The 27,034-nt window shown below is 47.9% G+C and overlaps 1 protein-coding gene across 8 annotated transcripts in view, besides 2 other annotated features; it reads left to right on the forward strand.

Annotated features, from left to right (window-relative positions):
• Positions 3–753: an enhancer, noted in NCBI's record as "NANOG-H3K27ac-H3K4me1 hESC enhancer chr19:55404005-55404755 (GRCh37/hg19 assembly coordinates)". NCBI's record gives its function as "activates a minimal SCP1, AML or CMV promoter by ChIP-STARR-seq in primed H9 embryonic stem cells {active_cell/tissue: H9 hESC(primed)}" and the evidence as "EXISTENCE:reporter gene assay evidence [ECO:0000049][PMID:30033119]".
• Positions 754–1,506: an enhancer, noted in NCBI's record as "OCT4-NANOG-H3K27ac-H3K4me1 hESC enhancer chr19:55404756-55405506 (GRCh37/hg19 assembly coordinates)". NCBI's record gives its function as "activates a minimal SCP1, AML or CMV promoter by ChIP-STARR-seq in naive and primed H9 embryonic stem cells {active_cell/tissue: H9 hESC(naive and primed)}" and the evidence as "EXISTENCE:reporter gene assay evidence [ECO:0000049][PMID:30033119]".
• The window catches only part of NCR1 (natural cytotoxicity triggering receptor 1), a 40,011-nt gene continuing 18,538 nt past the window's right edge, over positions 5,562–27,034 (forward strand). For 2 of the 8 annotated variants that reach the window (XM_011527530.4, XM_011527529.4), the window contains exons 1-5: positions 13,512–13,585; positions 13,663–13,698; positions 13,887–14,171; positions 16,609–16,887; positions 17,382–17,429. In XM_011527530.4, coding sequence (XP_011525832.1) covers positions 13,552–13,585; positions 13,663–13,698; positions 13,887–14,171; positions 16,609–16,887; positions 17,382–17,429 — 682 coding nt within the window. In that variant the 5' untranslated portion in view covers positions 13,512–13,551. Of the gene's footprint in view, positions 5,595–13,511; positions 13,586–13,662; positions 13,699–13,886; positions 14,172–16,608; positions 16,888–17,381; positions 17,430–19,531; positions 19,583–20,053; positions 20,438–27,034 lie in introns of those variants that run through there. The other 6 variants (NM_004829.7, NM_001145457.3, NM_001145458.3 and 3 more) reach the window with 6 other exon arrangements.

Raw genomic sequence — 27,034 nt, forward strand, 5'->3', positions numbered from 1 at the left:
CGCACCTGCATTACCAGCTACTGAGGAGGCTGAGGCAGGAGAATGGCTTGAACCCAGGAGGCGGAGGTTGCAGTGAGCCAAGATCGTACCACCGCACTCCAGCCTTGGTGACAGAGCAAGACTCCATCTCAACAACAACAACAAAAATGGTTGAAATAAAACTTCTATGTGTTGAACGATTCCTCTTTTAGGCATAGAGTTTCAGTTTTACAAGATGAAAATATTCTGGAGATCTGTTTCAAAACACCGTGAATACATTTAACACTGCTATACTGTACACTTACAATGGCTAAGATGGTAAATTGTATGTTATGTTTTTACTACAATTTTTTTTTTTTTTTTTCTGAGACAGAGTCTCACTCTTGTTGCCCAGGCTGGAGTGCAATGGTGCGGTCTCGGCTCACCGCAACCTCCGCCTCCTGGGCTCAAGCCATTCTCCTGCCTCAGCCTCCAGAGCAGCTGGGATTACAGGCATGCGCCACCACGCCTGGCTAATTTTATATTTTTAGAAGAGACGGGGTTTCTCCATGTTGGTCAGGCTGGTCTCGAACTCTGGACCTCAGGTGATCCACCCGCCTTGGCCTCCCAAAGTGCTGGGATCACAGGCGTGAGCCACCACGCCTGGCCTACAATTTTTTTTTAACTTTTTTTTCTGAGATGGAGTCTCGCTCTTGTCACCCAAGTTGGAGTGCAGTAGTGTGATCTCGGCTCACTGCAACCTCTGCCTCCCTGGTTCAAGGGATTCTCCTGCCTCAACCTCCCAAGTGTGGGAGATCAGTCAGAGTAGCAGAAGAAATTATAGGAATAGGAAGCAGCAAACCTTCTTGGAAGGCCAGGGAGGTTGGCATAGCTTCAGATAGTTTGGCTGAAAGCAGCCAGATTCTCTTTTCAGGAGCCAAACAGCTTAGGGCGCAGATACAAAGGAATGCGGAGTATTTTATCTAAATAGCTTGCTTAGTCATATGGTCCTAAAATCAACCTTTGATCATTCTCGGGCAAGATGGCCCTCTCCAGGGAGGTGGCGGGGGGCGGTGACCAGGTTAATTACCCACAGGTGTGTTGACTCAAAGCCTTTGTTAATTAAATCTGTGCTAAATAAATGCAAGCGTTGCCAGCTTAGAGGGGCTGCACTCTCTTTGGCTCCTAGTGCCGGCAGCCCCCTGGCCTGCTCTTTCACTGAATATTGGTGTCTGAGGACGTGTCTCATCTGTCGTACAGCTGGGATCTGCAGAACAGATCCCCCCCGCACCCAAGAAGCTGGGATTACAGGCACCCGCCGCCATGCCCAGCTCATTTTTGTATTTTTAGTAGAGACAGGGTTTCACCATGTTGGTCAGGCCGGTCTCGAACTCCCGGCCTCAGGTGATCTGCCCGCCTCAGCCTCCCAAAAGTGCTTGGATTACAGGCATGAGCCACTGCGCCTGGCCTTAGAAAACTTCTTTTTCTTTTTTTTTTTTTTTTTTTTTTGAGACAGAGTTTCACTCTGTCGCTACGCTGGTGTGATCTGGGCTCACTGCAATCTCCGCCTCCCAGGTTCAAGTGATTCCCCTGCCTCAGCCTCCCGAGTAGCTGGAACTACAGGTGCGCACCGCCACGCCCGGCTAATTTCTTGTATTTTCGTGGAGACGGGGTTTCACCATGTTGGCTAGGCTGGTCTGTTTCATGCGCGTCCGTGTGAAGAGACCACCAAACAGGCTCTGTGTGAGCAACAAGGCTGTTTATTTCACCTGGGTGCAGGCAGGCTGAGTCCGACAAGAGAGTCAGCGAAGGGGGATAGGGGTGGGGCCGTTTTATAGGATTTGGGTAGGTAAAGGAAAATTACAGTCAAAGGGGGGTTGTTCTTTGGTGGGCAGGAGTGGGGGGTCACAAGGTGCTCAGTAGGGGAGCTTTTGAGTCAGGATGAACCAGAAGAAGGAATTTCACAAGATAATGTCATCAGTTAAGGCAGGAACAGGCCATTTTCATTTCTTTCGTGGTGGAATGTCATCAGTTAAGGCAGGAACCGGCCATCTGGATGTGTACGTGCAGGTCACAGGGGATATGATGGCTTAGCTTGGGCTCAGAGGCCTGACATTCCTGTCTTCTTATATTAATAAGAAAAATAAAACGAAATAGTGGTAAAGTGTTGGGATGGCGAAAATTTTGGGGGGTGGTATGGAGAGAGAATGGGCGATGTTTCTCAGGGCTGCTTCGAGCGGGATTAGGGGCGGCGTGGGAACCTAGAGTGGGAGAGATTAAGCTGAAGGAAGATTTTGTGGTAAGGGGTGATATTGTGGGATTGTTAGAAGAAACATTTTTCATTTAGAATTACTGGTGATGGCCTGGATGCAGTTTTGTATGAATTGAAAAACTAAATGGAATAAGGAAAGGAGAAAAACAGGTATTAAAGGTCTAAGAATTGGGAGGACCTAGGACATCTAATTAGAGAGTGCCTAAGGAGGTTCAGCATAGCCTTGCCAGCAAAGATTATTTATTTACTTCAAGAGTTAAGAGTGGTGGTTTGGGGATAGCACCAGGAGATATCAGCTGTGATGGCTTGGAAAAACAGTGTAAACCAGCAGTGTAAACAAGAGCAGGGCATGTGTGAGTAGTTGAGAATGGTGAATAGGAGTATGACTAGACAGAAGATAGTAGGGATGACAAGTTTTTGGGGGCACATTCCAAGTTGGTCTGGTGTCTGGAATGAGACTGGGGCTTAATAAAAAGGAGCGTCTATACAGGAGCTCAAATGGGCTGTACCCTTTAGCATTCTGAGGACAGGCCTGAATTCTGAGAAAAGAAAGTGGTAAAAGTATTGTCCAGTCTTTTTTAAGTTGGTGGCTGAGCTTGGTGAGGTGTGTTTTTAAAAGACTATTAGTCTGTTCTACTTTTCCTGAAGACTGAGGACTGTAAGGGATATAAAGGTTTCACTGAATACCAAGAGCCTGAAAAACTGCTTGGCTGATTTGACTAATAAAGGCCGGTCTGCTATCAGACTGTATAGAGGTGGGAAGGCCAAACTGTGGAATTATGTCTGACAGAAGGGAAGAAATGACCTCGGTGGCCTTCTCAGACCCTGTGGGAAAGGCCTCTACCCATCCAGTGAAAGTGTCTACCCAGACCAAGAGGTATTTTAGTTTCCTGACTCAGGGCATGTGAGTAAAGTCAATTTGCCAGTCCTAGGCGGGGGCAAATCCCCGAGCCTGATGTGTAGGGAAGGGAGGGGACCTGAGCAATCCCTGAGGGGTAGTAGAATAGCAGATGGAACACTGAGAAGTGGTTTCCTTGAGGATAGATTTCCAGGATGGAAAGGAAATGAGAGGTTCTAAGAGATGGGCTAGCAGCTTGTAACCTACATGGAAGAGGCTATGAAATATCGACCGAATAGAATGGGCCTGTGAGGCTGGAAGGAGGTATTTTCCTTGGTCTAAGAACCATTTGCCTTGTGTGGGAAGAGATTGATGGGTGGAAGTTTCAGTGGGGGAGTAGGTGGGAGTGACTGATGAGAAGGAGAAAAACTGGCTGTGGGGGACAGAAATTGGCATGCTAGCTGCTTGTCTAGCTACCTTATCAGCATAAGCATAGATGTGAGAGACAGAAGTTGGAAAGCTAGCTGCTTGTCTAGCCACCTTGTCAGCATAGGCATTGTCTAGAGCAATGGGATCTGATGACTTTTGATGGCCTTTGCAGTGAATGACTCCAGCTTCCTCTGGGAGTAAAGCGGCCTTGAGCAGAGTTTTTATTAAGGAGGCATTAAAGATGGAGGACCCTTGTGTAGTGAGGAAACCTCTTTCAGCCCATATGACCGCATGGTGGGGCAGAATATGAAAGGCATATTTAGAGTCAGTATAAATATTGATGCATAGTCCTTTTGCATCAGTGAGGGCTTGAGTTAAGGCAACTAATTCGGCTTGCTGAGAGGTAGTGGAGGGGGCAGAGCGGTAGCCTCAATGATAGATGTGGAAGATACTATAGCATAGCCTGCCTTTGCTGGTGAGTGGCGATTAGGCCTGGTGGAACTGCCATCAATAAACTAAATGTGATTAGGGTGAGGAATAGGAAAGAAGGAAATGTGGGGAAATGGGGTGAATGTCAGGTGGATCAGAGAGATACAGTCATGGGGGTCAGGTGTGGTATCCGGAATAATGTGGGAGGCCGGATTGAAGTATGGGCCAGTAACAATGGTAATTGTGGGAGACTCAACAAAGAGTGAGTACAGCTGAAGGAGCCGGGGAGCAGAAAGTATATGCGTCAGGTGTGAGGAAGAAAATAGATTTTTGGAAGTTATGAGAACTGTAGAGAGTGAGTTGAGCATAGTTTGTGATTTTGAGGGCCTCTAAAACTATTAAAGCAGCGGCAGCCGCTGCTCACAGACGTGAGGGCTAGGCTAAAACAGTAAGATCAAGTTGTTTGGACAGAAAGGCTACAGGGTGCGGTCCTGGCTCTTGTGTAAGAGTTCTGACCACGCTAACCATGCCTAGGAAGGAAAGGAGTTGTTGTTTTGTAGAAGGTGCTGGGGTTTGAGAGATCACTAGGACACGATTGGCAGGGAGAGCACGTGTGTTTTTATGAGAATTATGCCGAGATAGGTAACAGAGGAGGAAGAAATTTGGGCTTGACTGAAGTAATGGGGGCTGTCTGTGAAGCCTTGCAGCAGTACAGCCTAGGTAATTTGCTGAGCTTGATCGGTGTCAGGGTCAGTCCAAGTGAAAGCGAAGAGAGGCTGGGATGAAGGGTGCAAAGGAACAGTAAAGAAAGCATGTTTGAGATCCAGAACAGAATAATGGGTTGTAGAGGCAGGTATTGAGGATAGGAGAGTATATGGGTTTGGCACTACGGGGTGGATAGGCAAAACAATTTGGTTGATAAGGTGCAGATCCTGAACTAATGTGTAAGCCTTGTCTGGTTTTAGGACAGGTAAAATGGGAGAATTGTAAGGGGAGTTTATAGGCTTTAAAAGGCCATGCTGTAGCAGGCTTTAATCCTTTTAAAGCATGCTGTGGGATGGGATATTGGCATTGAGCGGGGTAAGGTTGATTAGGTTTTAATGAGATGGTAAGGGGTGCATGATTGGTCACCAAGGAGGGAGTAGAGGTATCCTATACTTGTGGGTTAAGGTGGGGGGATACAAGAGGAGGACACAAAGGAGGCTTTGGATTGGGAAGAAGGGCAGCAATGAGATATAGCTGTAGTCCAGGAATAGTCAGGGAAGCAGATAATTTAGTTAAAGTGTCTCAGCCTAATAAGGGAACTGGGCAGGTGGGGATAACTAAAAAGGAGTGCTTGAAAGAGTATTGTCTAAGTTGGCACCAGAGTTGGGGAGTTTTAAGAGGTTTAGAAGCCTAGCTGTCAATACCTACAACAGTTATGGAGGCAAGAGAAACAGGCCCTTGAAAAGAAGGTAATGTGGAGTGGGTAGCCTCCATATTGATTAAGAAGGGGACGGGCTTACCTTCCACTGTGAGAGTTACCTAGACTGTCTGTGATGGTCCTGTAGGCTTCCGAGGCGATCGGGATCGGGCAGTGTCAGTCTTCAGCTGCTAAGCCGAGAAGATCTGGGAAGGAGTCAGAGAGCCTTGGGCCAGAGTTCTAGCTGCTCTGGGAGTGGCTGCCAGGTGAGTTGAACAGTCCGATTTTCAGTGGGGTCCCGCACAGATGGGATGCGGCTTAGGAGGAATCCCAGGCTGTGGACATTCCTTGGCCCAGTGGCCAGATTTCCAGTACTTGTAGCAAGCTCCTGGGGGAAGAGGTTCTGGAGGAACCCCTGGCAGCTGCGGTTCAGGCGTTTGGAGTTCTCGTGTGCTGGAGATGTGGCTGGGGTTTGTCTCATCTGGATACTGGAGTGGAGGCAAGGAATTGCAACTCAGAAATATGTTGCTATTTGGCTGCCTCTACTCTATTACTGTACACCTTGAAGGCGAGGTTAATTAAGTCTTGTTGTGGGGTTTGAGGGACAGAATTTAATTTTTGGAGCTTTATTTAATGTTGGGAGCAGATTTGGTAATAAAATGTATATTGAGAATAAGACGGCCTTTTGACTTAGGGTCTAGGGCTGTAAAGCGTCTCAGGGTTGCTGCCAAATGAGCCATGAACTGGGCTGTGTTTTTAAATTTGATGAAAAAGAGCCTAAACACTATCTGATTTGGGAGAGGTCAGATAAAGAAAAAGGAGCATTAACCTTGACTATGCCTTTAGCTTCAGCCACCTTTTTAAGAGGAAATTGCTGGGCAGTTGGGGGAGGGCTAGTCATGGAATGGAACTGTAAGCTGGACCGGGTGTGAGGAGGGGAGGTGATAAAAGGATTATAGGGTGGAGGAGCGGAGGCTGAGGAAGAATTGGGACCCAGCTCGGCCTGGCGAGGAGGGGAGATGTCAGATGGGTCTGTAGAAAAGGAAGATTAGAAAGACTCAGCGATGCTTGGGGTTGGGACTGACGGGACAGGCGGGAGGGAAAGAAGGAAGATTTGGGACGAGTTGCACTGGGCATAGAGACTAGGGAGGGACCGATGTGTAAAAGAATGCCTGGATGTCAGGCACCTCAGACCGTTTGCCCATTTTACAACAAGAATTATTTAGATCTTGTAGGATGGAAAAATTGAAAGTGCCGTTTTCTGGCTATTTGGAACCACTGTCAAGTTTGTATTGGGGTCAAGCAGCATTGCAGAAGAAAATAAGGCATTTAGGTTTTAGGTCAGGTGTGAGTTGAAGAGGTTTTAGGTTTTTAAGAACACAGGCTAAGGGAGAAGAAGGAGGAATGGAGGGTGGAAGGTTGCCCATACTGAAGGAGGCAAGCACAGAGAAAAGAGAGAGTAGAGACATGGAGGGAAGGGGTTCAGGGGTTCTTACCTTCCAGAAAAGCGGGAAAGGGGTCAGGGCACAGAAGTAAGGGATTGGGGTGCAGAGACAAGAGGTCGGGGTGTGGAAATAAGGGATCGGGGTGCAGAGATAAGACGTCAGGGCACAGAAATAAGGGATCGGGGGATTCTTGCCCCCTAGAAAAGCGGTACTTGCCACTAAGGGTGAAGGAGAAGGGGTTGGGGGGTTCTTGCCCCCCCAGAAAAGCAGAGAAGGGGTAGAGACACAGAGAAGGAGTTGGGGGTTCTTGCCCCCCCAGAAAAGCAGTACTTGCCACTAAGGGTGAAGGACCAAGGCAGGCATCCCCATGTGGTCAGACACCTCTGAAACGTGGGTGAATAATCAGAGAGGTGTCCCCGCGTGATTAAACACCAAGGGAAGGCTGCCTTCCCGAGTCCATGACCGGCGCTGGAGTTTTGGGTCCACGAATAAAGCGCGTCTCCTGTCTCTACCAGAAAAGGAAAGGAACTGAAATTAAGAGAAGGGAGAGATTGAAGAGTGGAAAGGAGAAAGTGGTTGAGGGATAGTGAGAGAGGTTGGAGAAGAGAGTAAAAAGAGGCTGCTTACTGGATTTAAAATTGGTGAGATGTTCCTTGGGCTGGTTGGTCTGAGGACGAGAGGTCGTAGGTGGATCTTTCTCATGGAGCAAAGAGCAGGAGGACAGGGGATTGATCTCCTAAGGAAGATCCCCTGATTCGAGTTATGGCACCAAATTTCACTCACGTCCGTGTGAAGAGACCACCAAACAGGATTTGTGTGAGCAACAAGGCTGTTTATTTCACCTGGGTGCAGGCGGGCTGAGTCCAGAAAGAGAGTCAGCAAAGGGAGATAGGAGTGCGGCCGTTTTATAGGATTTGGGTAGGTAAAGGAAAATTACAGTCAAAAGGGGGTTGTTCTCTGGCGGGCAGGAGTGGGGTTCACAAGGTGCTCAGTAGGGGAGCTTTTGAGCCGGGATGAGCCAGGAGAAGGAATTTCATAAGATAATGTCATCACTTAAGGCAAGAACAGGCCATTTTCATTTCTTTCGTGGTGGAATGTCATCAGTTAAGGCAGGAACCGGCCATCTGGATGTGTACATACAGGCCACAGGGGGATATGATGGCTTAGCTTGGGCTCAGAGGCCTGACAGTCTGGATCACCTGACCTGGTGATCCGCACACCTCGGCCTCCCAAAGTGCTGGGATTACAGGCATGACCCACTGCACCTGGCCTTAGAAAACTTCTTAAATATTAAAATGTATGTTATGTGTATTTTGCCACAATTTTTGAAAAGTACCTTCTGGTGTTTAGAGACAGAAGATGAGTGGTTGCCTAGGGCCGGGAGAGTGAGGGGATCGTGGTGATGGGCAGCTGGTCGGCATGGGGTTCTGAAGGGCAGTGATGACAACATTCTAAAATTAGACTGTGTTGACGGTTGCACCAACTCCGTGAATACCACAAAATTTAAACCATTGAATTATGCACTTTTAATGGGTAATTGTATGGCATGTAAATTATATCTCAATAAAGTTATATTTTTAAATACCAAAAAAAGGCCGGGTGCGGTGGCTCACGCCTGTAATCCCAGCACTTTGGGAGGCCGAGAAGGGCGGATCACGAGGTCAGGAGATGGAGACCATCCTGGCTAACATGGTGAAACCCCATCTCTACTTTGAAAAAAAAAAAAAAAGATTACCCGGACGTGGTGGTGGGCACCTGTAGTCCTAGCTACTCAGGAGGCTGAGGCAGGAGAATGGCATAAACTCGGGAGGCAGAGCTTGCAGTGAGTCGAGATTGCGCCACTCAGGAGGCTGAGGCAAGAGAATGGCATAAACCCCGGAGGCAGAGCTTGCAGAGAGCCGAGATTGCGCCACTGCACTCCAGCATGGGTGACAGAGCGAGAGTCCATCTCAAAAAAAAAAAAAAAAAAAAAAAAGATTAGTAATATCCTCTGTGTCACTTACCACTTAAGTGATTGAATCACGACTTGAAATTCATCATCTCAAACATGGCTTAGAGTCTGTAGAGGGGGGACAGTCCCAGGAATGCTGGTGTGGGCTTAAGGCTGAATTAAATAGATCCAGATGGCTCACACCTGTAATCCCAATACCTTGGGAGGCCGAGGCAGGTGGGAGGCTGAGGCAGGCGGATCACTGGAGCTCCTGGAGCGAAGAAAGGATGCTAGTGGAAAAACTGGTGAAATCAGAATAAAGTCTATAGTTTTATTTTTTAAAGGAGGCTGGGCGTGGTGGCTCATGCCTCTAATCCCAGCACTTTGGGAGGCTGAGGCAGGTGGATCAGTTGAGTTCAGGAGTTCAAAACCAGCCTGGCCAACTTGACGAAACCCCATCTCTACTAGAAATACAAAAATTAGCTGGGCGTGGTTGTGGGTGCCTCTAATCCCAGCTACTCAGGAAGCTGAGGCAAGAGAATTGCTTGAACCCAGGAGGCGGAGGTTGCAGTGAGCTGAGATCACACCATTGCACTCCAGCCTGGGCTACAGAGCAAGATTCCATCTCCAAATAAGAGAGACATGACAATTAAATAAATTGTGTAATCTTGGATTAAATCCTAAACCAAATATATGTCACTGGTAAAACAAGTGGTGAAATTTGAATAAAGTGGATAGATCAGACAATAGTGTCATATCAGTGCTATTTCTTGACCTTGAACATTAATAACAGAATGTCCTTGGTTTTGGGAAATATAACCTGAAGTGATTAGAGGTTTAGGGCATCATATGCAAATTAGACACACTTTCTTCGGGGAGAGAGGGAGAGGGAGAGAGGCTGAATGATGAAGCAAATGTGGTAAAATGCTAACTTTGGGGAAATCTGGATGAAGAAATTACAGATTTTTTTTTTTTTTATAGACAGGGTAACACTCTGTCACCCAGGCTAGAGTGCAGTGGCACGATCATGGCTCACTGCAGCTTCTACCTCCCTGGGCTCAGATGACCCTCTCACCTCAGCCTCCCAAGTAGCTGGGACTATAGGCGCACAGCACCACACCTGGCTAATTTTTGCATTTTTTTTTCCCCCAGGCTCGTCTCAAGCAATCCACCCACCTCGGCCTCCCAAAGTGCTGGGATTACAGGTGTGAGCCACTGCACCTGGCCAGAAATTCTTTAAACTATTTTTGCAAGTCTGGAATTATGTCAAAATTAAAAGCTCAAAATAATAAAAGACAATATTCTTATATTTCTTTGGTGAAGGTAACTATGTTATGGCTGAGAGGGTGGCTGAGGTCTGAGGATCCAGCCTACATAAGTCTCCTCCATAGAGGGCATCCAAGCGCTCCGTAGGGGGAAGGATAAAGAAAACACCCAGAGTTATGACAGCTGTGTAAGGGGAAACGCCAGCACCGAGTACTGAATCTTCAGTAAATAAGAAGGAGGCGGGCTGGGTGTGGTGGCTCACGCCTGTAATCCCAGCACTTTGGGAGGCTAAAGTGGGCTGATCACTTGAGGTCAAGAGTTCGAGACTAGCCTGGCCAACATGGGGAAACCCTGTCTCTACTAAAAATACAAAAATTAGTCGAGTGTGGTGGCACACGCCTGTAATCCCAGCTACTTGGGAGGCTAGAACAGGAGAATTGCTTGAACCCAGGAGGTGAAGGTTGCAGTGAGCTGAGATTGCACCACTGCACCCCAGCTTGAGGGACAGAGTGAGATTCCGTCTTAAAGAGAAAAAAAAAAGAATTAGCACATTTGTTTGCCTCAAGAAGATACAACTAGTCTTGTACAGTAGTCACATGTATCCACCAGGATATATTCCAAGGCCCCAGTGGATGCTGAAAACTACATAGTACCTTACATGTATATATATATGTATATACATATATACACATATACGTATATGTATACATACATGTATATATACATGTATGTATATACATATATGCATATATACATACATGTATATATACATGTATGTATATACATATATGTATATGTATGTATACACGCATACATGTATGTATACACGCATACATGTATGTATATACATATATGTATGTATACACGGATACATGTATGTATATACATATATGTATGTATACACGCATACATGTGTGTATACATATATATGCATGTATGCATGTGTGTATATATACATATATGTGTATATATACGCATATACATGTATGTGTATATATGCATGTGTATATATACATGTACGGTACTATGCAGTATATATACACATATATGTATATATGTATACATATATGTATAAATGTATATATGTGTATATATATAAAAGGTATATATGTATATATGTGTGTATATATAAAATGCATGAATTTCTTTTTTCTTACTGTAGATCTTAACAACTTCTGCATAGAATTTTTTTTTATTAAGTGGAGAGTTAGTTACTTACTTAAAAGAAATGTTTCTTGGCTGGGTGTGGTGGCTCACACCTGTAATCCCAGCACTTTGAGAGGCCGAGGCAGGAAGATTCACTTGAGGTGAGGAGTTGGAGACCATCCTGGCCAACGTGGTAAAAACCGGTCTCTACTAAAAGTACAAAAATGAGCTGGGCGTGGTGTTGGGTGTCTGTAGTCCCAGCTACTCAGGTGGCTGAGGCAGGAGAATTGCTTGAACCCACAAGGCAGAGGTTGCAGTGAGCTGAGATCACACCACTGCACCACAGCCTGGGCAACAGAGCAAGACTCTGTCTCAAAAAAAAAAAAAAAAAAGAAAGAAAAAGAAAAAGAAAAGAAATGTTTCTTTTCTTATTAAGTTCTTTAAATGAAAAGCTTTTCTTTTCACTTTTATTTTATTGAAACATTATAACACTATCTTTGAAGAAGATAGTGTTATCATTCCATTCTGATGAAACCAATTAACTTATCCAAGCATATGTATACTGTACACAGAGAAGCCAACGTCAAAACCCCTATTTTTATCTTTTTAGATTCAGCAGATACATGTGCAGGTTTTTTATGAGTATATTGCATGATGCTGAGGCTTGCATTAATGATCTAGTCACCAAATAGGTAGATTTTCAAGCCTTGCTCCCCTCCTTACCCAATGTTTAGCGCTCTCACTTATAAGTGAGAACATGTGGTATTTGGTTTTCTTTTCTTTTTTTTTTTTTTTTTTGAGATGGAGTTTCACTCTTGTTGCCCAGGCTGGAGTACAATGGCACCATCTCGGCTCACTGCAACCTTCACCTTCCAGGTTCAAGCAATTCTCCTGCCTCAGCCTCCCGAGTAGTTGGGACTACAGGCATGTGCCACCACACCCGGCTAATTTTGAATTTTTAGTAGAGACAGGGTTTCTGCATGTTGGTCAGGCTGGTCTCGAACTCCCGACCTAAGGTGATCCACCTGCCTCAGCCTCCCAAAGTGCTGGGATGACAGGCCTGAGCCACCGTGTCTGGCCAGTATTTGGTTTTCTGTTTCTGTGTTAACTCGCTTAGGATAATGGCCTCTAGCTGCATCCATGTTGCTGCAAAGGACATAATCTTGTGATTTTTCAAGGCTGTATAGCGTTCTGTGGTGTATACATATCACATTGTCTTTATCCAGTCCACCTCTGATGGGACCTGGGTGGATTCCATGTCTTCACTATTGTGAATCCTGCTGCAATGAACATACAAGTGCATGTGTCTTTTTGGTAGAATGATTTATTTTCCTTTGGCTATATACCCAGCGATGGGATTGCTGGGCTGAATGGTAACTCTGTTTGTAGTTCTCTGAAATATCTCCAAACCAAACTGCTTTCCACAGTGGCTGAACTAATTTACACCCACCAACAGTGTATAAGTGTCCCCTTTGCTCCACAATCTCACCAGCATCTGTTAATTTCTGGCTTTTCAGTAATGGCCATTCTGACTGGTGTGAGATGGTATTGTTGAGGGATAATTTAGGAATCAGAGAGACCGAGGGGTTGAGGAGGATTTATTATTATTATTATTATTTAGGTGCACCGGCCCCAGTCAGATTAACATCCAAAAAGACTGAGGCTCGAACAGAGAGTCCGGTTACCTTTTAAGCATTTTGTGGGGTTGGGGGAGATCTGTGCAGGGGGAAGCATATTACAGAAGCAAGAAACAAAGGCAGTTATTCAATTGAGACATGCATCACATTATTCCTTACTTTTCAAGAAAAATATGTTTTACGACTTGAGGTTATCCTGTCTAGTGACCTTGCAGCCGCACGGCAAGAGAAACAGGGTCTTCACAATGCCTGGGAAAGGGAGAGATAAGGCTCACTAGCCACAGACAGAAAAACAGGCAGTTCATGTTTAAAGGACTCCACCTCTTTCTCTTCCTCGGGGGGAACTGGGTTTTCTTAAATACAACTGAGTTTTTGTTTACACATTCTGTAATTTCTTTTAATTCCTGTTCCAGTATCTCACTGTGAAACTCCCTATGTTTTTATACGATTCTCAGGGGGTTTCCTCTGGGCATGATTGGGCACAACTTCCCACAGTCAGCTCTGGGTACGACCTCCACATTGCAGAATTGAGAAGTTGACCCAGAAATGCATTTTGGGCTGAGCAGACAATTGTCAGAGTTGCTGGCTAGACCACAGATGTGTCAGAGGGACCACGGCCTTTCTGTAAGCTCATGGTCAGAGGCGGAGGGGAGTTGTGAACGTTCTGATGAAAGCAGTCAACGTGAAAGCGCTCTGGTGATGGGCGCTGGTGCTCACCCACCACTTCCTGTGTATCTATCTCCCTGGCCCGCCCGGCTCAGTCCCCACTGCTCAGCACTAGGCCGGCAGAATCTGAGCGATGTCTTCCACACTCCCTGCCCTGCTCTGCGTCGGTGAGTTCTGGCGTGGAAGGGGAATGGGATCACGGTGTGCCTGGGAGGCAACAGGTCTCATTACTCCCGTCTTCCAGGGCTGTGTCTGAGTCAGAGGATCAGCGCCCAGCAGCGTGAGTCCTTCCTTCAAAGCCCAGGGTCACTCTTCCGGATTCAGGCCAAGCTCCTTCCACCCAAGCACGGCTGGGGTGAGGGGACAGGGTGCTGGCTTCCCAGGAGAGCTTGGGGCCAGCAGCTGGGTGGAGCCTAAGGTTGGGGGGAGGGGGCTCCGCTGGAACTCCAGCCTCTGATTCCCTTCCAGAGACTCTCCCAAAACCGTTCATCTGGGCCGAGCCCCATTTCATGGTTCCAAAGGAAAAGCAAGTGACCATCTGTTGCCAGGGAAATTATGGGGCTGTTGAATACCAGCTGCACTTTGAAGGAAGCCTTTTTGCCGTGGACAGACCAAAACCCCCTGAGCGGATTAACAAAGTCCAATTCTACATCCCGGACATGAACTCCCGCATGGCAGGGCAATACAGCTGCATCTATCGGGTTGGGGAGCTCTGGTCAGAGCCCAGCAACTTGCTGGATCTGGTGGTAACAGGTAACTGTCCGGTTCTCTAACTGGAGAGTGATCTCAGTCTGCATCCGGGATGCAGCATCATCTATGAACTCTTCCAAGCCCCACTCAGACACTGCTTGTCTCGGTAGGAGGCTGGAAGGAGGGGTGATCCCCATCACAATCCTTGCCTACAAGGGGTTGTCTGCAGACCGTGTCTCTACGTCCTAGGAGCAGATGTGTCCTCAGTCAGTTTCTCCATGACACAGATTCTGAGATAGATATTTGTATGCAGGGGTATGACTGAGGAATGTCCTCAAAAACAATGCCTGTGGGCCAGGCGCAGTGGCTTACACTTTGCTTCCCTCACCCATCACAGGTGGTGGGTTTTTTTTTTTTTTATCTGTTTTGAGACGGAGTTTCGCTCTTGTCACCCAGGCTGGAGTGCAGTGGTGCAATCTCCAGTCACTGCAACCTCCACCTCCTGGGTTCAAGTGATTCTCCAGCCTCAGCTTCCCAAGTAGCTGGGATCACAGGCACCCACCACTACGCCACATTTTGTATTTTTAGTAGAGATGGGGTTTCACCATGTTGGCCAGGGTGGTGTCGAACTCCTGACCTCAGATGATCCGCCCGCCTCACCCTCCCAAAGTGCTGGGATTACAGGTGTGAGCCATCACACCCAGCCAGGTGGTGGTTTTCTAAAAAAAAAAAAAAATTAGCTTTTTTTTTTTTTTAACAATATGGTTGTTTATTATTATTATCAAGTATTATACATAGTTACATATACATACATAATTGTATGTGCTATACAATTAGGTTTGTTTATACCAGCAACACCAAAAACACATGAGCAATACTTTGTGCTAGGAAGGCTATGATGTCATCAGGCAATAGGAATTTTTCAGTTTCATTATAATCTTATGGGACCACCATCATATATGTGGTACATTGTTGGCCAAAATGTCATTATGCAGCTCACAACAGTATTTCATGTCCATTCAAATATCTTCTTTTGTGAAATGTCTATTTAAATCTTTTGCCTATTTTTAAATTGGGTTGCTTATATTTTGATTGATTAGGAAAAGTTATTTCTATATTCTGTGTCATATACTTGTGTTGAAATATATATATTTTTTGTCTGTGCCTTTTCATTTGCTCAGGGTCTTTGGACCTTGTTTGGAGGTTCTGGCAGGGGAACACAGCTACTCATTTATTCTTTTTTTTTTAATTTTTTTAGTATTTATTGATCATTCTTGGGTGTTTCTCGGAGAGGGGGATTTGGCAGGGTCATAGGACAATAGTGGAGAGAAGGTCAGCAGATAAACATGTGAACAAAGGTCTCTGGCTTTCCTAGGCAGAGGTCCCTGCGGCCTTCCGCAGTGTTTGTGTCCCTGGGTACTTGAGATTAGGGAGTGGTGATGACTCTTAAGGAGCATGCTGCCTTCAAGCATCTGTTTAACAAAGCACATCTTGCACCGCCCTTAATCCATTTAACCCTGAGTGGACACAGCACATGTTTCAGAGAGCACGGGGTTGGGGGTAAGGTCATAGATTAACAGCATCCCAAAGCAGAAGAATTTGTCTTAGTACAGAACAAAATGGAGTCTCCTATGTCTACTTCTTTCTACACAGACACAGTAACAATCTGATCTCTCTTTCTTTTCCCCACATTTCCCCTTTTTCTATTCGACAAAACCGCCATCGTCATCATGGCCCGTTCTCAATGAGCTGTTGGGTACACCTCCCAGACGGGGTGGCGGCCGGGCAGAGGGGCTCCTCACTTCCCAGACGGGGCGGCCGGGCAGAGGCGCCCCCCCACCTCCCAGACGGGGCAGTGGCCGGGCGGGGGCTGCCCCCCAACCTCCCGGACGGGGCGGCTGGCCGGGGCTTTTTTTTTTTTTTTTGAGACAGTCTCGCTGCAGTGCAGTGGTACAATCTCAGCTCACTGCAACCTCTGCCTCAGCCTCAATTCTCCTGCCTCAGCCTCCCAAGTAGTTGAGATTACAGGCATGTGCCACCACACCCGGCTAATTTTTGCATTTTTAGTAGAGACGGGGTTTCACCATGTTGACCAGGCTGGTCTCAAACTCCTGACCCAGGAGGTCGAGGCTTCAGTAAGCAAAGATAGTGCCACGGCGCTCCAGCCTGGGAAACAGAGCAAGACCCTGTATCATTTTTAAAAATGGTTTTAGACGGTAAATCTTCTATTGTGTGTATTTGACCAAAATAATAATTAAAAAAAAAAAAAAAAGCTGGCTGCCAGGCATGGTGGCAGGCCCCTGTAGTCCCAGCTACTTGGGAGGGTGAGGCAGGAGAAACGCTTGAACCCGGGAGGCGGAGGTTGCAGTGAGCCAAGATCGTGTCACTGCACTCCAGCCTGGGCGACAGAGAGAGACTCCATCTCTAAAGAAAGAAAAAAAAAAATAGCTGGCTGCTCATCACTGAGTTTCTGGTGTGGTGGCCCCACCTTCTCTCATAGAAATGTATGACACACCCACCCTCTCGGTTCATCCTGGACCCGAAGTGATCTCGGGAGAGAAGGTGACCTTCTACTGCCGTCTAGACACTGCAACAAGCATGTTCTTACTGCTCAAGGAGGGAAGATCCAGCCACGTACAGCGCGGATACGGGAAGGTCCAGGCGGAGTTCCCCCTGGGCCCTGTGACCACAGCCCACAGAGGGACATACCGATGTTTTGGCTCCTATAACAACCATGCCTGGTCTTTCCCCAGTGAGCCAGTGAAGCTCCTGGTCACAGGTGAGGAAATGCTCAATTCCCCACACCCTTCGCCGCCATGTGCTACCTGGAGCCCTGAGGGATCCCCAGAGAGTGATGGGGAGGGTGTCCAAGGGACGTCCACTTCCTGGGTGCCTGGTTGGTCATGTGAGGAAGAACACCAGAAGCAGGAAGGAGGAGGGAACAGAGAAAGGAATGGTAAGGCGGGTGGATCACAAGGTCAGGAGTTCGAGACCAGCCTGGCCAAGACGGTGAAACCCCGTCTCTACTAAAAATACAGAAATTAGCCAGACGCAGTGGCGGACACCTGTAGTCCCAGCTACTCAGGAGGCTGAGGCAGGAGAATCGCTTGAACCCGGGAGGCGGGGGTTGTAGTGAACCGAGATCATACCACCGCACTGCAACCTGGGCGACAGAGCAAGACTCCATCTCAAAAAAAAAAAAAAAAAAAAAAGAATGGCAAGACCGGAGGAAACCAAAAACCCTTACTTTTTTTTCTTTATCTCCTTTTCCAGGCGACATTGAGAACACCAGCCTTGCACCTGAAGACCCCACCTTTCCTGGTGAGTAACTGGTCCTTCTAAGCTCAGACGAGCGATCAGAGCCTCCCAGTGACACTAAAAACGTGGCATTCATTCAAAATATTCATCGAGGCCAGGCGTGGTGGCTCACGCCTGTAATCCCAGCACTTTGGGAGGCCGAGATGGTGCATCATTTGAGGTCAGGAGTTTGAGACCAGCCTGGCCAACATGGCGAAACCCTGTCTCTACTAAAAATACAAAACTTAGGCTGGGCATCATGGCTCACACCTGTAATCCCAACACTTCGGGAGGCCAAGGTGGTTGGATCACAAGGTCAGGAATTCGAGACCAGCCTGACCAACATGGTGAAACCCCATCTCTACTAAAAATACAAAAATTAGCCGGGCCTGGTGGTGCTCGCCTGTAATCCCAGCTACTCAGGAGGCTGAGGCAGGAGAATTGTTGAACCTGGGATGCAGAGGTTGCAGTGAGCTGAGATCGCGCCACTGCATTCCACTCCACTGCACGACACAGCGAGACTCCATCTCACAGAAAAACAAAAACAAAACTATTATATATATATATTCATCAAGTGCATAGTATACACAGTGAACTACACTGTAACAGTCAGCCAGGCAGATATCTTGACTGTGCAGCACTTAGATTCTAGCAGGAGGAGACACACCATCGGTCAACGTCAGGATAGCACACAGGAGGGAATGATGCTATGGAAGGAAAAGACAAAGTAGAACAGACTTACAGTGATTGAAATGGCAGCTAGCAATATTAAATAGGTTTGTCCAGATGGACCTCACAGAGAAAGAAGGCATCTGAGCAAATGCGTTCAGACTTGAGTTAATCATGTGGCTGTCAGGAGAAAGGAGGCTCTGGAGAGAATGAAATGGCATCTGCCTGTGCCCTGGGGCAGGAAGATAACTGGGGTAATACAATAATAACTATGAGGCCAGGAGGGTTGAAAATGATGTTTGGAAGATGACGGTGGGATGGGCCTGGGGCGCACGGCTAGGATTACAGGAGTGAGGCCCGGCGCGGTGGCTCACGCCTGTAATCCCAGCACTTTGGGAAACCGAGGCAGGTGGATCATGAGGTCAGGAGATCAAGACCATCCTGGCTAACACGGTGAAACCCTGTCTCTACTAAAAAAAAATACAAAAATTATCCGGGCGTGGTGGCGGGCGCCTGTAGTCCCAGCTACGCAAGAGGCTGAGGCAGGAGAATGGCGTGAACCCGGGAGACGGAGCTTGCAGTGAGCTGAGATCGCGCCACTGCACTCCAGCCTGGGCGACAGAGTGAGACTCCGTCTCAAAAAAAAAGAAAAAGAAAAAGAAAAAGAAAAAAAAATAGTGAGACTTTGAATTTCACTATGTGTGAGGAGAAAGAGGTAATGATGACTTAATGAGGAAAATGAGGCTTAAATAGAAGACGGGCTGGGCCGGGTGGCTCCTGCATGTAATCCCAGCACTTTGGAAGGCAGGGGCGGCTGGATCACTTGAGGTCAGGAGTTCAAGACCAGCCTGGCCAACACAGTGAAACCCCATCTCTACTAAAAATACAAACATGAGTTGGGTGTGGTGGCGCACGCCAGTAATTACAGCTACTCGGGGCTGAAGCAAGAGGATTGCTTGAACTCGGGAGGCGGAGGTTGCAGTGAGCTGAGATCACACCACTGTACTCCAGCCTCAGAGGCCTGCCATCCCAGCCCTTTGGGAGGCCGAAGCAGGCAGGTCATCTGAGGTTGGGAGTTCAAGACCAGCCTGGCCAACATGGCAAAACCCCGTTTCTACTAAAAATATGAAAAAAATTACCTGGGTATGTGGTGTGTGCCTGTAGTCCCAGCTACTCCAGAGGCTGGAACACAGTGAGACTCTATCTCAAAAAAAAAAAAAATAGAAGACATGACTGGTGCAAAGACACATGCTCACAAGTGCTAGAATGGAATTCCTCGTCAGGTTCGTCCATCTGTGGACCCTTCCACTTTACCTGCTGGATGAAGCTCCTGGGACCCGCAGGGTGAGGTGGGACCTTGTAAAGCTGCAGAACGTCATGGGGTAGACCCAAGGGAAGGAGTGCTGGGGTGGAGGAGGTCAAAACCATCCTCTTTTCTTCACTTCCCTTATCATCAGCAGACACTTGGGGCACCTACCTTTTAACCACAGAGACGGGACTCCAGAAAGGTAAGTAGACAGCTGGGGCCATAGGCTCTGAAGGAAGGGGCTGGGCATAGAGTAGACCTAGGAAGGGAATCTAAATGGGAACAAGAGGGTGTCCTTGGCCAGGCGCAGTAGCTCACACCTGTAATCTCAGCCCTTTGGGAGGCCGAGGCGGGCAGATCATCTGAGGTCGGGAGTTCAAGACCAGTCTGGCCAACATGGCGAAATCCCATCTCTACTAAAAATACAAAAAAATTAGCCAGGCGTGGTGGCGTGTGCCTGTAGTCCCAGCTACTTGGGAGGCTGAGACAGGAGAATAGCTTGAACCCAGGAAGTGGAGGTTGCAGTGAGCCGAGATCGTGCCATTGCACTCCAGCCTGGGCGACAAGACTGAGGCTCTGTCTCAAAAAAAAAAAAAAAAAAAAAAAAAAAAAAAAAAAAAAAGAGGGTGTCCTTACATCCCTGTCAGCGATCACCCTGTTCTCCTGCCTACAGACCATGCCCTCTGGGATCACACTGCCCAGAATCTCCTTCGGATGGGCCTGGCCTTTCTAGTCCTGGTGGCTCTAGTGTGGTTCCTGGTTGAAGACTGGCTCAGCAGGAAGAGGACTAGAGAGCGAGCCAGCAGAGCTTCCACTTGGGAAGGCAGGAGAAGGCTGAACACACAGACTCTTTGAAGAATGACCATGAGACACAGTGGCCATGGGTGGATCTGAAAGCTGGTGTTGAGCCTGGGCGGCGTGAGCTCTGTGTTGGACCCACGGAGGAGGGAGTCACTGCAGGGAAAGAGGGACACTGGCATTCCATTTGTCAGAGCATCCCGGACGATGCAGAGGGTGGGAGAACTACATGCTAAATTTCTTTTTTTTTTTTTTTGAGACAGAGTTTTCTCTTGTTGCCCAGGCTGGAGTGCAATGGCGCGATCTTGGCTCACTGCAACCTCTAGCTCTCCATCCCTCGGGTTCAAGTGATTCTCCTGCCTCAGCCTCCTGAGTAGCTGGGATTACAGGCATGTGCCACCACCCCAGCTAATTTTGTATTTTTAGTGGAGACGGGGTTTCTCCCTGTTGGCTGGTCTCGAACTCCTGACCTCAAGTGATCTCCCCGCCTTGGCCTCCCAAAGGGCTGGGATTACAGGCATAAGCCGCTGCGCCCAGCCACTGAATTTCTTCTGTAGACAAATCCTATGGTCTCTTCTAGGCTCTAACTATTTTTGTACCACTTACTGCAAACCATACTTTTAACCACTCTGGTCTTTTCTGAAAAGATCTCTCCTTCTTTAACAGGATGGCCATGGAAATATTTTTTTCCTACTTTGGTCTTTTTTTCTTTCCTTTCTCTGCAGGAAGCCATTCAAAATAGTTAATAACCAATATAGAATAGGTCTGTATCAAATGGTTCAGGAGGCATTGTGGCAACAACCAGTTGTAGAGAAGCAGCTTTATAAGTGAATCCTGCCAGGCACGGTGGCTCACACCTGTAATCCCAACACTTTGGGAGGCTGAGGCGGGCAGATCACCTGAGGTCAGGAGTTCGAGACCAGCCTGGCCAACATGATGAAACCCCATCTCTACTAAAAATACAAAAACTCGGCCAGGCACGGTGGCTCATGCCTGTAATCCCAGCACTTTGGGAGGCCAAGGTGGGAGGATCACCTGAGGTCAGGAGTTCGAGAGCAGCCTGGCCAACATGGTGAAACCACATCTCTACTAAAAATATAAAAATTAGCCAGGTATGGTGGCGTGTGCTTGTAATCCCAGCTACTCAGGAGGCTGAGGCAGGAGAATAGCTTGAACCCGGGAGGCGGAGGCTGCAGGGAGCCAAGATCGCACCACTGCACTCCAGCCTACGTGACAGAGCAAGATTCTGTCTCAAAAAAAAAAAGAAAAAAAAAAAATAAGTGACTCCTGGCTGCATCCCAACCATACCCCAATTCCTTCTAACCACAGAATTATTCCATCTTCTCTTCCTTTTTTTTTTTTTTCTTTTTTTTTGTTTGTTTTGTTGGGACAGAATTTCACTTTTTTTTTTTTTAATGTAAGTTTTAGGGTACATGTGCACAACGTGCAGGTTAGTTACATATGTATACATGTGCCATGTTGGTGTGCTGCACCCACTAACTCGTCATTTAACATTAGGTATATCTCCTAATGCTATCCCTTCCCCCGAGTTTCACTTTTGTCACCCAGGCTGGAATGCAGTGGTGCAATCTTGGCTCACTGCCACCTCCACCTCCAGGGTTCAAATGATTCTCCTGCCTCAGCCTCCTGAATAGCTGGGATTATAGGCATGCACCACCACGCCCGGCTAATTTTTGTATTTTTAGTAGAAATGGGGTTTCACAATGTTGGCCAGACTGGTCTTGAACTCCTGACCTCAGGTGATCCACCAGCCTCGGCCTCCCAAAGTGCTGGAATTACAGGTGTGAGTCACCGTACCCGGCCACCATCTTTGCTTCTTTATCCACACCTTGCCTTGTTCTTCAGGGCTCTGCAGAGATATCATTTCCTCCAAGAGTTTCCACAACTCCGACTTCACAAAGATAGCACTTTTTTTTTTTTTTTTGAGACAGTCTCACTCTGTAGCCCAAGCTGGCGTGCAGTGGCACAATCTCAGCTCACTGCAACCTTCGCCTCTGGGGCTCAAGCGATTCTCCTTCCTCAGCCTCCCAAGTAGCTGGGACTAGAGGCGCGCGCCACCACACCCGGTTAATTTTTTTTGCATCTTTAGTAGAGGTAGGGTTTCATCATGTTGCCCTGGGTGGTCTCAAACTCCTGAGTTCAGGTGATCCCCCCGCCTTGGCCTCTCAAAGTGCTAGGATTACAGGCGTGAGCCACTGCGCCCAGCCAAGACAACACTTTCCTCATCCCAAAGCACCTGTTAATTCCCTGTAACAGCACTTGAACCCTGATTCGGCATGCATGTCCATTTTCCTGCCTCTACCGTGAACTCGTGTGAATTGATCTATGTCAGATTTAGTGGCTGCATTCACAGCTCCCGCAACTATAACGGGGTTCTCGGGAAATATATATCAAATGAGTGAATGTATATACGGGGCTGTGGCACAGCCTGCAACTTGAGACTTCTCACTAGGGGTCTTGAAATGCTGTCTGGACACCACCATCGCTTTCCTCCCTGAGAACTTCTACTTATCAACCCATTTATATACTCATCGCATGGGTCCTCACGCCCTCCCATTATTCTGGTGCCTCATGCCGGTCAAATTTATTCTCTAAATCTGATTTTTCCATTAAATAGCAGCCTGGCCAACACGGTAAAACCCCATCTCTACTAAAAAATACAAAATATTAGCCAGGCGCAGTGGCTTGCACCCGTAATCTCAGCTACTCGGGAGGCTGAGGCAGCAGAATCACTTGAACCCGGGAGGCAGAGGTTGTGGTAAGCCGAGATTGCACCACTGCACTCCAGCCTGGTAACAGAGCGAGACTCCCTCTCAAAATAAATAAACTGCTGACTCGCGTATTTTTTCTTTACCCCAACTCATTCCTTACATGTAGGCACCTGTAATCCTAGCTACTCAGAAGGCTGAGGCAGGAGAATCGCTTGAACCTGGGAGGCGGAGGTTGCGGTGAGCCAAAATCGTGCCACTGCACTCCAGCCTGGGCGACAGAGCGAGACTCCATCTCAAAAAAAAAAAAAAAAAAACCACATAGGCTCAGTCTTTTCAGTATCTGCTTTACTGGTTCAGTAAAAGCCAGGAAACACAACTTTGTGGTAATCTGAATGTTATTGAACTGTATTTTGTTCACTTTATTGTAAATACTAGTGAACAGTGAATAAATGGTTGTATATTCCTAATAAGAAAAAAAAAAAAAAAGACCCAAAGTACAGCGAGCTGATGCCGATCTCATTTCGCAGAGGTCCGCCTGCTCTCCCCTCTCCAAGAGTGTAATCCTATGCTTAATAAACTTATGCCGCTTTGCTATGTGTGTGTATCACACCCAATTCTTTGTTCGAAACACCAAGGGCCTGGAACTTCACAGCTTTGGCTGGTAACGGGGAGCAGGGGTAAAGACATTTAAAAGCTGCTTGTGTTAACCATAATCGCCATCCCATATATCAGACCCCCAGAACTAACTCATCTTATAACTGAATATTGTGCTTTTTTTTTTTTTTTTTTTTTGAGACGAAGTCCTGCTCTGTCACCCAGGCTGGAGTGCAGTGGCGCGATCTTGACTCTGCAACCTCCGCCTCCCGGGTTCAAGCGATTCTCCTGCCTCAGCCTCCCGAGTAGCTGGGACTACAAGTGCGTGCCACCACGCCCGGCTAATTTTTGTATTTTTAGTAGAGACGGGGTTTCTCCATGTTGGTCTCAAACTCCTGGTCTCAGGTGATCCACCCGCCTTGGCCTCCCAAAGTGCTGGGATTACAGACGTGAGCCACCACACCCAGCTACTTGTGCTTTTTGACCAACATCTTCCTCTCCTACCACCCCCAGCCCCTGATAACCTCCACCTACTCTCACTTCTAGGAGATCAACTGTTCTATTTTTTTTTTTTTTTTTTTTTTTTTGAGTCTCGCTCTGCACACCCAGGCTGGAGTGCAGTGCTGCAATCTCGGATCACTGCAACCTCCGCTTTCCGGGTTCAAGCGATTCTCCTGCCTCAGCCTCCAGAGTCGCTGGGATTACTGAGCCACCGCGCCCAGCCAGAAGACCCACGCTCCCTAAGACATAACCCACACTGGTGGCCTTTGTTCTGACTTCTCACCTGTGCTCCCCACCCGCTAGAAACTGGCTTCTCTCCCCACACTTCCTCTGAAGCTGTCTGTGTGACCAACACTAATGAGCTTCCTTCCTGGAACATGCAGTGACCCTTTTCAGCCCTTCTCATTATTGCTCCCCCACAGTTGTATTTGACACGTTGACCACTTCCTCCTCGAAGGACTCACTTCTCTGGCTTTCTCGGACACTTCTTGCTACTCGTTTTCTGACGGTTACAGTACCAACAGGTTTGCAGGCACCTCCACCACCAGAGCCAATCCCAGCTACTCGGGAGGCTGAGGCAGGAGAATCGTTCAAACCCGGGAGGCAGAGGTTGCAGTGAGTCGAGATTGCGCCACTGCACTCCAGCCTGAGTGACAGACTGTGACTCCTCAAAAAAAAACAAAAACAAAAACAAAAAAACTACAGTCTTGCTCTGTCGCCCAGGATGGAATGCAGTGGTGCCATCTTGGCTCACTGCAACCTCTGCCTGCTGGGGTCTAGCGATTCTCCTGCCTCAGCCCCCCAAGGAGCTGGGACTACAGGCATGTGCCGCCACGCCTGGCTAATTTTTGTATTTTTAGTGGAGATGGGGGTTTTACCATGTTAGCCAGGTTGGTCTTGAACTCCCGACCTCATGTGATCCGCCCACCTTGGCCTCCCAAAGTGCGAGGATTACAGGCCCCCGCACCCAGCCTAGGATCCTGCACCTCTCTAGCCTAGCAGTTCTCTGCTGGGTGATTTTGCTCTCCACTCCAGGGGACATTTGGCAATGCCCATGGTAATTTTTAATTGTCATGACTTGGGGAGGGGTTCTACTGGCATCTGGTAGGTAGGGTCCAGGGGTGCTGCTCAGCTTCCTACAATGCCCAGGGCAGCCCCAGATGGCAGCAGCACCAAGGCTGAGAAACACTGGCTCATGCAGAAAGCAACCACCTTACACCCTTCAGTGCAGGGACAAAGGCAGGGTTACGAGTCCACGGAAACTCTCCAGTCTCAGCCTACGTAAGACGTGGCTATTTTTCTTTCTTATTGTTTTTATTCATTTATTTTTCTTGAGACAGAGTCTTGCTCTGTCGCCCAGGCTGGACTGCAGTGGCGCGATCTCTGCTCACTGCAAGCTCCGCCTCCCGGGATCACACCATTCTCCTGGGACTACAGGCGCCCGCCACCTAGCCCGGCTAATTTTTTGTATTTTTAGTAGAGACGGGGTTTCACCATGTTAGCCAGGATGGTCTCGATCTGACCTCGTGATCCTCCCGCCTCGGCCTCTCAAAGTGCTGGGATTACAGGTGTAAGCCACCGCACCCGGCCTTATTCATTTATTTTTTGAGATAGAGTCTGAGCCCTTTATTTTATTTATTTAGAGACCAAGTCTCGCTCTGTTACCCAGGCTGGAGTGCAGTGTCGTGGCCTCAGCTCACTGCAACAACCTCCGCCTCCCGGGTTCAAGCGATTCTCCCACCTTGGCCTCCCAAAGTGCTGGCATTACAGACACCCACTACCATGCCTGGCTAATTTTTTGTACTTTTAGTAAGTAAAGACAGGGTTTCACCATCTTGGTCAGGATGGTCTCGAACTCCTGGCCTCAAGTGATCGGCCCGCCTGGGTCTCCCAAAGTGATGAGATTACAGGCGTGAGCGACCACACTGGCCTAATGTGTAGTTTTTTATCTGTGGCCTCCCTTCTGCCCTCCCCCTTCTGAGACTCTGAAGCCCATTACATCACTCTGCCTTTGTGTACCAACAGCTTAGCTCCCACTGAGAACATACAGAGCCAGGCACGGTGGCGGTGGCTCACGCCTGTAATCCCATCACTTTGGGGGTGCTGAGGCAGGTGTATCGCCTGAGGCCAGGAGTTCAAGACCAGTCTGGCCAACATGGTGAAACCCCATCTCTACTAAAAATAGAAAAATACATAGCTGGGTGTGGTGGCACGTGCCTATAATCCCAGCTACTAGGGAGGCTGAGGTTGGAGAATCGCTTGAACCCAGGAGGCGGAGGTTGCGGTGAGCCAAGATCACACCATTGCACTCTAGCCTGGGCAACAAGAGCAAAACTGTCTTAAAAAAAAAAAAAAAAAGTGAGAACATATGGATTCTACTCCTGTTAGAATAATGGCCTCCAGCTCCATCCAAATTGCTGGAAATGACATTATTTCATTCCTTCTAATGGCTGAATAGTATTCCATGGTACATAGACACCACGTTTTCTTTATCCACTGTAGGGACCAGCCCCACAGGGTCGGTGGGTCTCTCCCTGTGTGCGGCGACGAGAGAGTGTAGAAATAAAGACACAAGACAAAGAGACAAGAGAAAAGGCAGCTGGGCCCGGGGGACCACTACCACCAATGCGCGGAGACCGGTAGTGGCCCCGAATGTCTGGCTGCGCTGTTATTTATTGGATACAAGGCAGAAGGGGCAGGGTAAAGAGTGTGAGTCACCTCCAATGATAGGTAAGGTCACGTGGGTCACGTGTCCACTGGACAGGGGGCCCTTCCCTGCCTGGCAGCCGAGGCAGAGAGGGAGAGGAGACAGAGAGAAAGACAGCTTACGCCATTATTTCTGCATATCAGGGACTATTAGTACTTTCCCTAATTTACTACTGCTATCTAGAAGGCAGAGCCAGGTGTACAGGATGGAACATGAAGGCGGACTAGGAGCGTGACCACCGAAGCACAGCATCACAGGGAGACGGTTAGGCCTCCGGATAACTGCGGGCGAGCCTGACTGATGTCAGGCCCTCCACAAGAGG

The sequence above is a fragment of the Homo sapiens genome, chromosome 19 (assembly GCF_000001405.40).
Source record: "Homo sapiens chromosome 19, GRCh38.p14 Primary Assembly".
In the NCBI taxonomy this organism is placed as follows: domain Eukaryota; kingdom Metazoa; phylum Chordata; class Mammalia; order Primates; family Hominidae; genus Homo; species Homo sapiens.